The 15,189-nt window shown below is 34.9% G+C and overlaps 1 protein-coding gene across 38 annotated transcripts in view; it reads right to left on the reverse strand.

Moving 5' to 3' along the window:
- Positions 1-15,189, reverse strand: part of PTPRD (protein tyrosine phosphatase receptor type D) — a 2,298,757-nt gene that overhangs the window by 695,587 nt on the left and 1,587,981 nt on the right. For all 38 annotated transcript variants that reach the window (NM_002839.4, XM_017014961.3, XM_006716827.5 and 35 more), the window contains one exon: positions 8,865-8,903. The gene's annotated coding sequence lies outside the window, so the exon portion shown is untranslated. The remainder of the gene's footprint in view (positions 1-8,864; positions 8,904-15,189) is intronic.

Consider the following 15,189-nt stretch of genomic DNA (forward strand, 5'->3'; position numbering starts at 1 on the left):
CTATAATTTATACTAATCTTCATAAATTCTCTCCAAATTTTCACTAGCCTGCTTTCAAGGAGTTATGAGAATTTTAGGTTGACTTGGTGCCTCTACGGAGGGATCCTGAGTAATTTTTTGCTCCGTACAGTTCTCTTAGGCCTTCCCTTTAAAGGGACTTGGAGTTACAGAAATGTCCTAAACATGACCAGCCTGACAAAGATGGAAATTTTTAGGAGTTGCCTTAGGGGAAACTACAATTGTGAATGGTTAGAAAATCATTCAAGATTTCAGCAATTCCTCCTACAAGTCCCAGATTTCTGAAAAGAGGCCAAAATCTGAACAAATTCAGTAGATGGTTGATGCAGTTTCTAAAACAATGTTAGAAAGTAACAGATTCAACATATCTTTGACCAATATTTTCCAAGCCTAAAAGAAAGTAAGACACAATGGATAGAAATCAGACTATGAACAAAAGTTAGAATTTTAATACAAATGGGACAACATTATCCATAAGACTTTTTGAGTTACTGATGCACATTGACATGCTATAGGATATTCCATTCTCACCTTTTATCCCCCTGCTCTGTGTCTGGTGAGTTCAACATTTATTGACTGCATCAGCTAGGCTCTCTTGCTTTGTGGCTTCTTGTTAGTTCAGGTAATGGGAAATACCAGCAGAATATTAGAAGATAAAAGGAAAGAGGAGTTCTGTTATTTATTTCCCTGGCTCTCTATCTGCCAGTGCACATGTTTTCACATGTTGCTTTTCTGCACTTGAGGTTAGGTTCTTACTGAGTGGCCCTCTTCAACAGTGCAGATCTTTCTGGGTTCTGATAACCTTATCAAGCCAAAGTGTGGAAGTTGCTTCCAGTTAACCCAGGATGATCCTTGATCCTTTCATCTTGTCCATCCCTCTGTAAATAGTCAATTTATTAAGCTCTCCTCTATTAAGAACACTCTTTTTGAGTGTGCCATCAGTTGCTGACAAGATCTTGGGTGATAAACATGCACTGGATTGTCATGTGATCATTTTTACATGTGAGATGGGCTAGTGATTGGCAGACAAATATTATCCGCTTATTGCACAACAGCCACCAAGGGCGTCCTCACGAAAGTATGAATAAATACCATTATTTTTAAATTTTAATGATTAATATTGATTATTTTGGTACAGAAAACATTTCCTATGGCCTAGGATTCATATGTAGCATGCTCATAATTTAGATTGCCCTAGTTAAAAATGCTATGATATGTGTATCCTGGTTACCTTAGAGACTGTGTCTCCTAAGTAGAGAGTGGCAATTCTAGTCTGTAGGGGTGCTCAGAAATAGTATCTGTTTTTGAACTCCAGGAAGATACAAAAGTGGGGGGAGTCTTTTCAGGAATCATCAGTCATAGCTTCTCCTCATTTACATGGTCTCACGTATCCCAACACTCTCTTTTTTGGGGGAAATAGCTTATAATTCATCTATTATTCTCACATCCTGGAAGACTAGTAAGCCTGGAGCTTTTCATTTAAATATCATAGAATTAAGTGGTTATTTGAGAAAACAGACCTATGGATAAATATATGGTAAAATACATATTAACTGCAGCATATAATTACATAGGATATAAGGATATAATTACCTCTGTGGTTGTTATAGGCCAAACAATAGTAGAGAAGTGAGGTGTACATTAAGAAAAAACTGTGTTATTCAAAGGCCTAAGACTCAGAATGCAGTAGCAAAGAAAGAGGGTCACATGCTATTCCCTGCCAGAGTAGCTAAGAATACATCCCTATTCCCTGAAGATTCTGCCTCTTACAATAGGAAATGCCCATTGTACTTCAGTGGTACTTTAGTAAACTAGTATAATGATAACTCTACACCCTACAGCTCTTTCAACAAATATTTTTCATTTTCCTTAGTGAGAACAAATTAAGATGTTCTTTCTCTGATGTGATTTTCAATTCTAGTTCAAAGTTAGGATTTCAGGGAAGGCCCTGGCACTGGTTCTTTTGATGGTATCTGTTGTGGCAAAGAGACTCTAAGGTCTTTCCTTTGGTCTCTTTCTCCTGGTGTCCAGATTGTATAATCCTGTCCCACTGAGTGTGGGCAGGACCTGTGACATATTTCTAACCAATAGAACTTGGTAAAGATGATAGGATTTTACTCTCTTGATTATGAATCATTATATAAGCCTCCACCTTGCTATCAGTCTGGTAATAGGAAGTGTCCCTTTCCCTTTCTGACTTTAAAGAAGCAAGGTACCATGTTGTGAGAGGGCCTATGGAAAAAGCTATAGTCAAGGAACTTCAGGCAGCTCCTGGAGCTGAGAGTAGCCTCTAGCCAACAGCCAAAGCCAAAGCCCTCAGTCTTACAGCCACAGGAAATGAATTCTGCCAACAACTTGAGTAAACTTGGAAGAGAATCCATCACCAGTTAAGCCTCCAGATGAGAACCAAGCCCTGGCTGACACACTGCATTCTTGCAGAGGACCCAACTAAGACATTTCCTACCTTAAAGTGAGAGATAATAAATATATTTTGTGTTAATCTGCTGAGTTTCTTACAATCATAGAACACTAACAAACCTGCCCAATACGTACTTAGTTAATAAACATTGACTGAGTGAGGACCATAAGCCAAGCATTATTCACCATATTTAAGATGACTGTAGAAGCAAGAAATCCATGCATGAAAGGGAGTTATGTAGGCAAATTCCATAGGCGGTATAAGTGTCTAAAAATATCAAATGGGTAAGATGCTTTCCTTTCACATGCAGACAGGGAAAACTATTTGCAATGTCTAATGACTGTTCTACTTTAAGTGGATGTGAGAACAAAACAGACTTTGAAGGAGATTTACAGAATAGTATTGAAATTTTTTTATCAAGTTCTATCAATTAAAGTTTGATGCCATATGTATGTATTTTTGCCATTCTGCCATCCAGGATAAGAAATTGCTATTTTCTGCCATATGAGGGTGTATATTCTTGCCACTATATCCTGTAACATCAGGCAGAGATAAAACTTCACAAAACTCAGCAATGCTAAAAGAAAATCTGTGACTTGCCTTTGTATTCACTATCTACTGGCCTACATCTCTAGAAATCTATATCCAATTTATACCAGACAGTTGGTCACAGTCTTAGGTGAAATTTTCAGCAAAATTTTGAGTGTCTAAATTTTTTGAATGAAAAAAATAAACACAACAGATGACACTAACAGGGGCAGAAAGAAAAGACGTTAAAGGGGGGGATGCAGATAGCACAGATAATCTTGTTTGTTTGCTTGTTTGTTTTTTAAGCACCAATGCTATTTGAAAATTCTTGCTAGCTCTTATTTTTTTTTCTGTTTTTTGTTTTTTCAATATCTGAGGCATTGGGGGTTTACATCAAAGTAACAAAAGAATGACTGAACTCCGATGAAGCGTTTCTGAAGCAATAATTAATATACGAGGCCACCGACACTAGAATTAATCTTGAAAACCACTCTCAAGGTGATGGGCAAAATAAATGCGCCATGGGAGTGCCCCCAGAATGCTGCACTGACATTGTTGGGTCCTATCATTGATCATTGATGATAGCAAAGAAGCGATCAGTCACAAGGCAGAACTAATAATAGACTTCAAATATGGAAGGAACCTTACTTCTATGTTTGGTAACAGTCCATGTTTAACAAATAGTGTTTTTTTGTGTGTTTGTTTGTTTTCTTTTGCTTTGCTTTTTCCTGCTCCAATGGACAAAAGCAACAAGTCTCTTTCTCTTTCTTTCCGTGGGATAAAAGACCTTGCTATATTCTCTGTATATATGCATTGCAGGCAGCATTGGAGGGCAGTTAATTAACTATAATGACCAAGTGTATGGGCATTTCATTGCATACAGAAGCAACTCTGCCCTGATTCAAGCAGCCAAGTCGACTCAAAACTCAGGAAATGCTTACGTATAACAGGTATGGGGATGTACCCACTGTTTTTTCCAGTGGTGGTGAAGGTGCCATTGTCAACATTGGTTTAATCCTTGGAGTCCCACTAATTAAACCATTTCTTTCTTTCACAAAAGGGCCTCTACTGGCCTGAAAGTATCAACGTGCAAGGTGAGGTTCCCAGATAAAATGGATCTTTTGTTGGGTGCATCTTGCAGTTTAACCAATCTCACTATAAGACTGGACTCTGAGTGCTCCCTCACTCTTGAACTCTTGGCTGCTGCATTTTTGTCTACTTGATATCTTCTGATGTTCATAATAAGTACTTGTTGTAGATAACACCATTTTTCTATAATAAGTAAATCGTAAGCTCTATGTAATACTCAGAGAGGAATAGTATCTGTTTTTGGAATTAAAGAGCAAAATGAATAACTGTTTGGTCCATGCTATTACCTCGTTTTTTTTTGTTTGTTTGTTTGTTTTTTTTTTTTTTCTGGAAGCATTTATTTGAGTTTCATGAGCAAAGCTGATATCTTTGAATAAAACTTCTCCACGATCTTTCATTCTCACAATCTGAACAGAAATGTGCTTATGTTGTGTAAATTAGATTCCTTTTATTGTGTAAGACTCCAAAGATTTGTCAATAATATTTTTGCTTTTAGTCATGCCCTTAAAAATGTCACCTAATAGTACAGCTTTTTACTTTGAACTTTTCTACATACTAAATTCAGTTTTATAAAAGTGTTAATATGAACGATACATATGTGATTACCTAGAGTGAATAAGATCACAATCAATCCAGAAGAAAGCATTGTGTTTGTCTAGAGATTCCTTGCCAGGAATAATCCGAAGAGGAAATATGTGTGTTTATTTATGGTAATAACAATACAGCTGTCCAGCAATCAAGTTAACTTGACTGTCATCTTTATCAAGCAGTATATTTACATGGGAGACAATCTGAGGAAGGAGAAATCTATATTGTGTATGAACATGATGAAATGTATTTCTAAACACATTGAGCCTCTAATTTCTGAAGTAAGATGACTACTTAAAACACGATGTTTAGAAAGGGGTAGATTATACATTGACACACTTAAGACTCAATCATTTCAACCTTTCTCCAAAATCACTTTTTCAACATTATTTATTCTAAATATAGAATACAATATTTATTTCATTGAAAAGGGATAAAAGACCTTGCTATATTCTGTGTATACATGTATTTATAAGTGTGTGTGTAGGTATGTCTGTGTACATGTGAGTATATGTGTGTATAAATGAGTAGAGTAAGAATTACTTATGGATTTAAAAAAATGTTTTAACTATTTAAAATCAATTTGTGTAAAAAAAGAATAAGCCAGGTTTATTTTAACTAAATTAACTAGATAGCTTTTAAAAAAATTAAACAATCAATCAATCAATCATGAATGTGTCAGAGGCATTTAAACCAGAGCAACTCCATCTTGAATGGGGGCTGGTAAAACAATGTTGAGACCTACTGGGCTGTATTCTCAGAGGGTTAAGGCATTCTAAGTCACAGGATGAGATAGGAGGTCAACACAAGATACAGATCATAAAGACGTTGCTGATAAAATAGGTTGCAGTAAAGGAGCTGGCCAAAACCCACCAAAACCAAGATGGCCACAAGAGTGACCTCTGGTCGTCCTCACTGCTACACTCCCACCAGCGCCATGACAGTTTACAAATGCCATGGGAATGCCAGGAAGTTACCCTACATTGTCTGAAAAGGGGAGGCATGAATAATCCACTCCTTGTTTAGCATATCATCAAGAAATAACCATAAAAATGGGCAACCAGCTGCCTTCAGGGCTGCTCTGTCTATGGAGTAGCCATTCTTTTATTTCTTCACTTTCCTAATAAATTTGTTTTCACTTTACTCTATGGACTTGCCCTGAATTCTTTCTTGCATGAGATGCAACAACCCTCTCTTGGGTGGGGTCTGGATTGGGACCCCTTTGCTGTAACAAAATAATTTATTTTCATTTCTTTCTAATGACTTACTTTTTCTTAAAGAAGATGAAGAGAATGGAGCCTCAAAAGGACTGTTCAATGTACATTTGGATATAATAATTACCATCTTCCCTGACTTCAGCAAGTATACGTAGATCAACCACCAATTTTTGACCATAAACAGAAAATCAGGGGCACAAACTTTGTTGTTGTTATGGAGGTGAGGAATGCCAATAAGTAGAAAGAAAGTAGAGTTGGGTCTTCTCTCTGCTAAATGATCATAGGAATGCAGAAGAATTGGGCCTTAAAGCACAGGCAGCAGGACTTGAGGAATTTGCTGTTAACTGCCAAAGGAGGAAAGAGTTGTAGGATTAAAAAACATGCTCACTAATACTTTCCCACAGAGCTTGTCCAAGGCACAACTCTGAGACTGCCTTACTGCAGCCCCTTTCAGCAGGTGTCACCCTCCTTGGGAAGCGAAATTGCTTTTCCTCTCCCTCAAACATTTGTCTTTTATATTAGATGTTTTCTCCACACCAGTGTGGATAAAATTACTGTGACAATTTTCCCCCAAATAGTTGCACTAAAAATACTACATTTCACTGAGGAAGGCAGTAAAATACATTTGTAATATACATGGGCTGTGGAACAAGTTCTGGGTTCCAATTCCAATTCTTTCTCTTTTCTCTTTGTGTTACCTCAGTTATATTACTAACCCTTTATGAGAATCATCCAAAAATGGGGACAAACAGATATTCCTTAGATGATTGATTTGAGATTTACATGAGAGAATATATGTAAAACAAACCAGCCTAGTACTGGTTAAAATCGGGGAGATGGTCCTAGTTTTATTCCATTAGAGGAATATAAGGCACCCACAGCAGGATATTCTTATGAGGCTACACTCCAGATCCAGAGCAATGAGGCTGATGACTAAAGCTTCTTAAATGGTCGTTTGACCTACCCCCTAAATGACTTAAAAAATGATAATGTTGAATCACAAGTACAAACAACTGTAGCAGTCTTTGCAAAGTCATTTGGGTGGCTTCACTTGCAGGGAGCTAGAACCCAAGACTCCCCAGTTATGTCATCCAGCAATGTTGACCAAGTTCAAAGTACTTTCAGAATGACAACTTGCTCAAATACCGTAGCAATCCTGTCACTAGGCAGTATTCTCATTTTAAACATGAAAACATTGAGGAGCAGGAAGATAAAGTGGCTCTTAATGGTGGTGCTGGGATTTTACTCAGTATTTTGGATTTAGAGTCAATGGGCGTTTTCTCTTTTGCCCCCACAGAGCTCTACTCTATGGTTATAAAAAACAATGTATGGTGGCCTAGTAGTGATGTGTATTATAGATAATGAATCATAAATAACCAAATAATTTTCTCCAAGACACTGCGACTATTAGTAAGATTATCATCGCAACAAAGACCCTTTGTTGCGATGATAAATGATTAATACATAATAGCCACCCAAACCCATGAACAACAGCAACAACCATAAACGAACAACCATACTTTTCCAAGTGCTGCTAAAAAGGAATTTTTACTTGTTTTATCTTTATGCCAATGAAAAGAAAGGTCATCTTGCTGAATTTTTATGATTCATTCTTTGGATAGAAAAACTCAATTCTACAGGTTCCTTGGTAAATCTGTGTATTACAGTTGAGATCAGCACCACTGTTAATCTTTCCTTTGCCAGCAAATAGCAATTACAGGATAACTACAGGGTAATTCTAGGGCTTTGTGTCTTTGAACGCCGGAGTAATTTGAACCATTCTAACTGTAAATTTGAATTGTTTAACATATGCTTTCCGCAGAGTATAAATACATTTTAATGATTTATTTCACCTCCTTAAATGCACAATTTTCAGTTTTTTAGAATCAAGTGATTTCATAAATATAGAAAGTTTAGAACACTAGTAAGGAAACTTGAAATAAATCAAGAAACATTTTCTTCATTTAAACATGGCTTAAATTGAGCATAAAACAAGGTTCTCAGAAACATCGAATAATTGCATGATGACTAGAATTTTTTTCTTTTTCAATGAAATAGATAAAAATATTCAAGGCTTCTATTTATAAACCATTCAAGTTGTAGTTTAAATTACGTAAATTGTCAAATAAGTGAAAAAGCAAAAATTTAAAATGGAACTTTCTTCTACTTTTACCACTTTTTTCTTTCCCTTTCTCTTAGGCACTATTTATTGAATATCGTGTCTCTATATTTAGTTTCCAGTCTCTACTTACTACTTTGTATTTGTTCCACCTCTCTTTTGTTTCTTCCAAATATTTACAATGAAGTGCAAGTATATGTAATCTATTTGTTTACTCTATTTGTTTATTTTTATTTTTTGAAGATCTGTCGTCTTTCTTCTTTATTATTTTCAGTTCTTCCCTTACTCATTTGCTTTCCTTTTGACTGCACTTCACACTTTCTCTTTCCCAATCCATTAACTGAAGATTCCCTCATAACCATCCCAACACATCTCATTCCACTATTGGGTGGTTGTTGTATTGTTCATACTCTCTGGTGTTAACAGAATCATGGTTCCACACGAGGTGGAGTTTGGGGAAATGAATCAACTACTCACTGCTCACTAACCTACTCCATTGATAGGCTAGAGGTCACACTAAGACAATTTTTAAATAAAACGGTATATCTTATAAAAATCATCGTGTAAAAATTCAGTCTATAGATGTGTATTTGCTCTTCCACATAAAAACATACCCATTATTTAGGACTTGAAATTTCACTCCATCTATATACATAAAGACATAATATTTTTGTGTCTGCCTACTACATACAGAAAATTTATGTATATTTTTTAAGACTCCAAATAATTTGAAAGTGTTGAACGTTCACTTTTATTCCTTATACTCCATAATAAAATTTCTAACAATTTTAAGCTACAACCCACAGTAGTAAAGAAACACTATTAAGCAATAAAATAAATAAAATGTGAAAGCCAGGCACACAACCCAGTATGCTTTAAATCTTACTTGTTCTTTAGATCCCACGGGTGTTCACCAGACGTCTCCCTAAACAAAGAAGAAATGTGACAACAATTAAAATGTGAAAACGATGCTATTAAAATACTGCTCATTTAGGTGATGCATGTTTATATTACTTAGCTAGTGGAAATGTCAAATTCCAACAAGAAGTGAAATTGTTTGTATTTTGGCATTTCCTTTCACACTTATTGTTGTAAAAAAGCAACTTAAAATGTTCCTTTTAAAGCAACAAGAAGCAAAACATGTTATGATTGTTCTGGAAAAAGAAATGATAGTTTTAAAATATTTAATGTATCCCCTAATCAAAATTATATGTAGTAGAAAAGAAATAACATACAGAACCATCAAGTATCATTCAATAAAAACAAACTTGTGCTAGAAAAACCTATGAAGAATTCTTACAAAAGGGAGTATTTCTTGTGTTGAAAACCTTTGTTAAGATTTTAATTCCTTGGTAAACATACAGAAAGCCCATTGAGTTTCTTTGAACAACATCACAGGATTTTTATTATAGAAAGACAGAATCTACCAGACTATGATAATAATGTTATCAAGAAAGAAAGAAAAAGAAAGAAGAAAGAAAGAAAGAAAGAAAGAAAGAAAGAAAGAAAGAAAGAAAGAAAGAAAGAACGAAAGAAAGAAAGAAAGAAAGAATCTGAATTTTAAAATTAGGCTGAGGGCTTATTAAACTTTTAATTATATACCTCGAAGTTTGGCTGGGTGCAGTGGCTCATGCCTGTTATCCCAGGACTTGGGGAGGCCAAGGCAGGCAGATCACTTAAGGTCAGGAATTCAACACCAGCCTGGCCAACATGGTGAAACCCCATCTCTACTCAAAATACAAATAATTAGCCAGGCGTGGTCGTGTGCATCTGTAATCCCAGCTACTCAGGAGGCTGAGGCAGGAGAATCACTTGAACCCAGGAGGCGGAGGTTGCGGTGAGCCAAGGCTGTGCCACTGCACTCCATCCCAGGTGACAGAGTGACACTCCGTTTCAAAACAACAACAACAACATGGAAGTTTATTATTAATATAATTTTTTATCAACGTTGAGAAAGATACAAGTCCATGAAAGTGTTGTAGTGTTTCGGGAGTTTTATAATTTATAAGTAACTCTAAAAACTGGGCACCGATGTTGGCATTTTCTCAGTGATTTTCATTGAACTTGTTCACTTTTTTTTTCTTTTTGGAAGAGTGGAAATGAAGAAATTAACCTGGACTCTATGTGAATAGCTGAGGCAAGTGGAGACATTAATTCATTTGTGTAAATTCCTAGAAAATAACAACTGATCTTGAGTTACATAAAGCTGATCAGTGGTGCTCTGCAGACATGGGAGGAGAAGAGAAGAGGGAGGTATTAAAAGGGCCATAAATAAACTTCTGGAGCTGACGGATATTATTGTTATCTTGATTGTGCTCAAGATTTTAAAGGCATATACATGTGTCTAAACTCATCAAATGGTATGCTTTAATGCATGCAGTATATTATATGATAATTATACCTTAATAAAGCTCTAAAAAAGTGGAAGGATGTGAAATATATATTTAATGTAGAGCATGAAATGCATGTATAAACCATTCAATAAATTAATGAGAGTTGGTACTCTTGCGATTTTTGTTTTAAAAGATTATCTGTTTGCTGTGTGATGACTAGATGGAGGAGACAGTGATTGGAAGCGGAGGTGAAATTTTGTAAGAAAGCTTGGACCACCATAATGACAGTTGACATAAAAGATGCTGGATTGATTCATGATATAGTTAGAAGGTACAAAGAAAAGGCTGGTTGAGGCATTGAATGTGAAGGTAAGACAAAATAAGGAACCAAGAATGATGGCCAGGTTTGTGGCTTGAACAACTGAGTGCACGTGCTGCCATTTTCTGAGGTGGTAAAGACTGAGAATATAATAAGATTTAAGTGGAATACAAGAATTCCATTTTGTACATATTATATTTGAAATGCCTGTGAGACAATCAAATGGAAATGTTAAGTTGGGTAAGTGTTTCTAGAAGCCAGAGGATAAGTCTGAGTTACACAACTGATTTTGAGAATTGCCAGCATATATCTAAGAGAGTGAGTGGCTGTCATGAAGTGGAAGCAAAGGTCATTGAATGAGAATAGATAAAAGCACCCAGAGTCAAGGTGCTAGATGACGTATCTACTCGGATGTATATATCCTCTAAATAACCAGAATGAGAGTGAAAAGCGGTTCTAGGGGCCAGAAGCTAATTTTAATTATTTCTTATGTTTTTTTAGAGACTACTTTCTAATCCTTACGTTTGAATGTTCACAATGTAGGCAGGACACAAAAACATAATATTTTAGCAATTAACCTAATGTGCTGCCAATTTAACCTTTAAATTATCCTCAAAGGTCTCTAAATGTCTAATTATTTAAGAGGTATTTTAAATCACTTCATCTAAAGTACATCTCTTAAATAAACATATCTTTTGTTACATAAACACCTTAAAAATCAAATTAGAAATGAAGTACAGTTATGTGCTGCATAACATATCAGTCAGCAATGGACTGCATATATGACAGTGGTTTCGTAAGCTTATAACAGAGCTGAAAAATTCTTATCATCTAGTGATGTGATAGCTGTTGTAATGTTATAGCACAGTGCATTACTCATAGCACATACAATTATGTATGGTACATCATATTTGATTGGTACAAAAGTAATTGCAGTTTTTGCCATTAAAAGTAATGGCATTAGTACTTGATAATAAATGATCAATGGTATTAATACTTGATAATCAATGACTATGTTACTGGTTTATGTATTTGCCATACTATGCTATACTTCATGTCATTATTTTAGAGTGTACTCTTTCTACTTAAAAAAAATGTTAACTACAGAATGGTCTCAGGTGGTATTCCAAAATAAGGCATTGCTGTCGTAGGAGATGACAGCTTCATTTGTGTTATTGCCCCTGAAGATCTTCTAGTGGGACAAGATGTAGATGTGGAAGAGAGTGTTACTGATGACTCTTACCATGTGTAGGCCTAGACTAATGTGTGTGTTTGTGTCTTAATTTTTAGTAAAAAAAAGTTTTAAGTACACAAAAAATTTAAAAAGAAAAAATGTATAGAATGATAATACAAAGAAATATTTTTGTACAGCTGTACAATGTGTGCTTTAAGCTAAGTGTTATTACAAAAGAGTCAAAAAGTTTTAAAAAGTTTCTAAAGTAAAAAATCTTAGCTTACAATGAGAACACGTGGACACAGGGAGGGGAACATCACACACTGGGACATGTAGCGGGGTGGGGGGCAAGGGGAGGGAGAACATTAAGACAAATAGCTAATGCATGCGGGGCTTAAAACCTAGATGACCGGTTCATAGGTGCAGCAGACCATCATGGCACATGTATACCTATGTAACAAACCTGCACATTCTGCACATGTATCCCAGAACGTAAAGTAAAATAAAAATAAAAATAAAAGATGTAAAAAAAAATGTTAGCTTACAGTAAGCTAAGGTTAACTGATTATTGAAGAAAGAAAATATTTTAAAATGCATTTACCGTAGCCTACGTGTGCAGGGTTTATAAAGTCTATAGTAATGTGCAGTCTTGTCCTTGTCCTCCATATTACTCACTGCTCACTCGTTGATTCACCTAGAGCAACTTCCAGTCCTGAAAGCTCCATTCATTGTAAGTGTCCTATGCAGGTGTACTATTTTTTATCTTTTATACCATATTTTTATTGTACCTTTTCCTTGTTTAGTTATATTTAGATACACATACACTGGCCAATGTGTTAGAGTTGCTTACAGTATTCAGCACAGTAACATTCTGTACAGGTTTGTGGCTTAAGAACAATAGGCTATACCACATACCATAAGTTTGTAGTAGGTTGAGCCATCTAGGTTTCTGTAAGTATGTTCTGTGATGTTTGCACCATGACAAAATCGCCCAAGGATGCATTTCTCAGAACGTATTCTTGTTAAGTGATGCATGACTGTATAGAGCTTTGCTAAGATTTTCAAAGAAGTCAACATAATTTGCAGAACTTGAACACTTTTTCTTTGCAACATGTGCATGGAATATGAAGAAGCTGTAATATGATTTGCTGAAAGTAGCTGCAAAATCTATATTGGAATATTCAAAAATGGTTGCTTTTACATATTCGTAGAGATCAGCCACAGAAACAGAGCAAACAATATTGGAATTATAGTGTATTATTATAGAAGGAAAATAAAATGTAGAAATTTCATGGCTGGCATGACTGGTATTTTTCAAAGTAATGTTCAGCCTGAGAATAAACCATGGTAGATTTGGTTTTGTTGGTTTCCCTTGGCTTTGAACATTAGGGGATGTTTGGAAGTCAACATCCCAGATTTTTGTTTCTTCTTTTGTAAAGTGGAACCTATACAAATAACTTCATGGGGTTTTGGTAGGAATAAGTGGGATAAAGTGCACACAAATGCTTTGTACAGTGTAAAGTACTATAGACTGCACAAATAACACCATCACAACAGTAAGTGAGACATCATAGCTAAATGTGGGACTTGATATTACTCAAAAGAAATATTCAGTGAACTGAATTTGTGTACTGCATTTAATTTCATTTAGAATTTTCCAAGTTGTTACTAAGGCCCAGAAATAAATATCAACTCTTCATATATTGATTAAATAAATGTGCATTACGTTTTTCTTTCTTTTTACTTTGCACACTTTGCTGAATATGAATTTTTGGCACACATGATAAACACAAAACGCCTAGGACCTGCTCTTTGTGGATTACTTGGACCGAAACACAATTATGAAATATGATTTTTCCATTTCCATTCTTCTATTTACACTTAGTTGCTTTTATTTAATCTTAAATTTCAACTTTTATTTTAGATACAAGGGGTCCATGTGCAGGTTTGTTACAGGGGTATATCGCATCCAGCTAGTGAGTATAGTACCCACTAGGCAGCTTTTCAGCTCACATCCCCCGCTCTCCCTCCCCCGTCTAATAATCCACAGTGTCTATTACTCCCATGTTCATGTCCATGTGTGCTCAATATTTAGCTCCACTTATAAGTGAGAAAATGAGGTATTTGGTTTCTTGTTCGTGAGTTAGTCTGCTTAGGATTACGGCCTCCATCTCCATCCATGTTGCTGCAAAGGACATGATTATTTTACTTGCTTTTTTAATCTTACAATTTACTTTCTTTTCTTCTTTTCTCTATTTCCTGTGATATTGCACAGCTTTCTCATTATCTCATCTTCGGTTAAGATTAAGTCATTAATCATCATTTTATACCTTTTTCTAAAAATAATACAAATTTTTATTTTTGTAAAAATAATTTAATATAATCACCATTGAAATTTACAAAATACATTGAAGAAAAAAGACAAAAATGAAAGTCATTCAAAATCCTACCACTGAGAGACAGCTGCTCTTGACTTTTGGGTATACAGCTACCCAGTCTCTTTTCTATGCATTAATATATATTTTATAAGTTCATTAATAGTGCTATGTTCTCTTTTTTACTTACTCTTCCATGAGTATTTTTAAATAATGTGAATGTTTTCCTACAATTTGTTTAGTTAGTGCATAGTTATTTTAAATTTTAATTTTATGGATGAAACATAATTTGTTAGACCTGTCGAAAAGGCTATTGTCGATTCTTTGTTTTTTTTTGTTTGTTTTTTTTTTTTTCCTGTATAAACAGCCTTGTGATAAACATCCTTCAGGCTATATATTTGCATGAATCATGATTAATTCCTTAGGATGAATTGCTGGATGCAGTCAAGCTTGCATATTAAATTACAAAAATTATAATATCTATTGCCAAATTATACTCCAAAAAGGTAATAACATTTATCACTCCTACAAGCAAGATAGGAGAGTTCCAACTTCTCCACACTGAAGCTAATAGTAGATATTATCATTTTAAAATTTTTGCCAATTTGATAAATAAAATTATATCTTTTATTATTTTAATATGTGTTTCTTTGGTTACCAGTTCTGTTGAAAAGTTTATTTTTTCATTTGTGTTTATTAGTTTCTGAAATGCTCCTTCATGTATTGTTGCCTACTTATCTATTAGAGCACATGTCTTCTATAATTACTTGTAATAACTTTTTATATATTAAGGATATTGATTATAAACATAAAGATTTGATTTAAAAGACCAATAATGAGTTTAACATTTTCAGAATTAACATATGCCAAGATTCATCCTAAAAACCAAGGGAAAGTTTAACAGCTTTTTTACTTCAACTAGATGCAAAAGTGATTACAAATAGATGAATAAATTTAAGTAAAGTTTTATGCTTCATTTTTATTACCCCATTTTCATTCCAATTTGAATC

This window comes from Homo sapiens, chromosome 9, assembly GCF_000001405.40.
Source record: "Homo sapiens chromosome 9, GRCh38.p14 Primary Assembly".
NCBI lineage: Eukaryota > Metazoa > Chordata > Mammalia > Primates > Hominidae > Homo > Homo sapiens.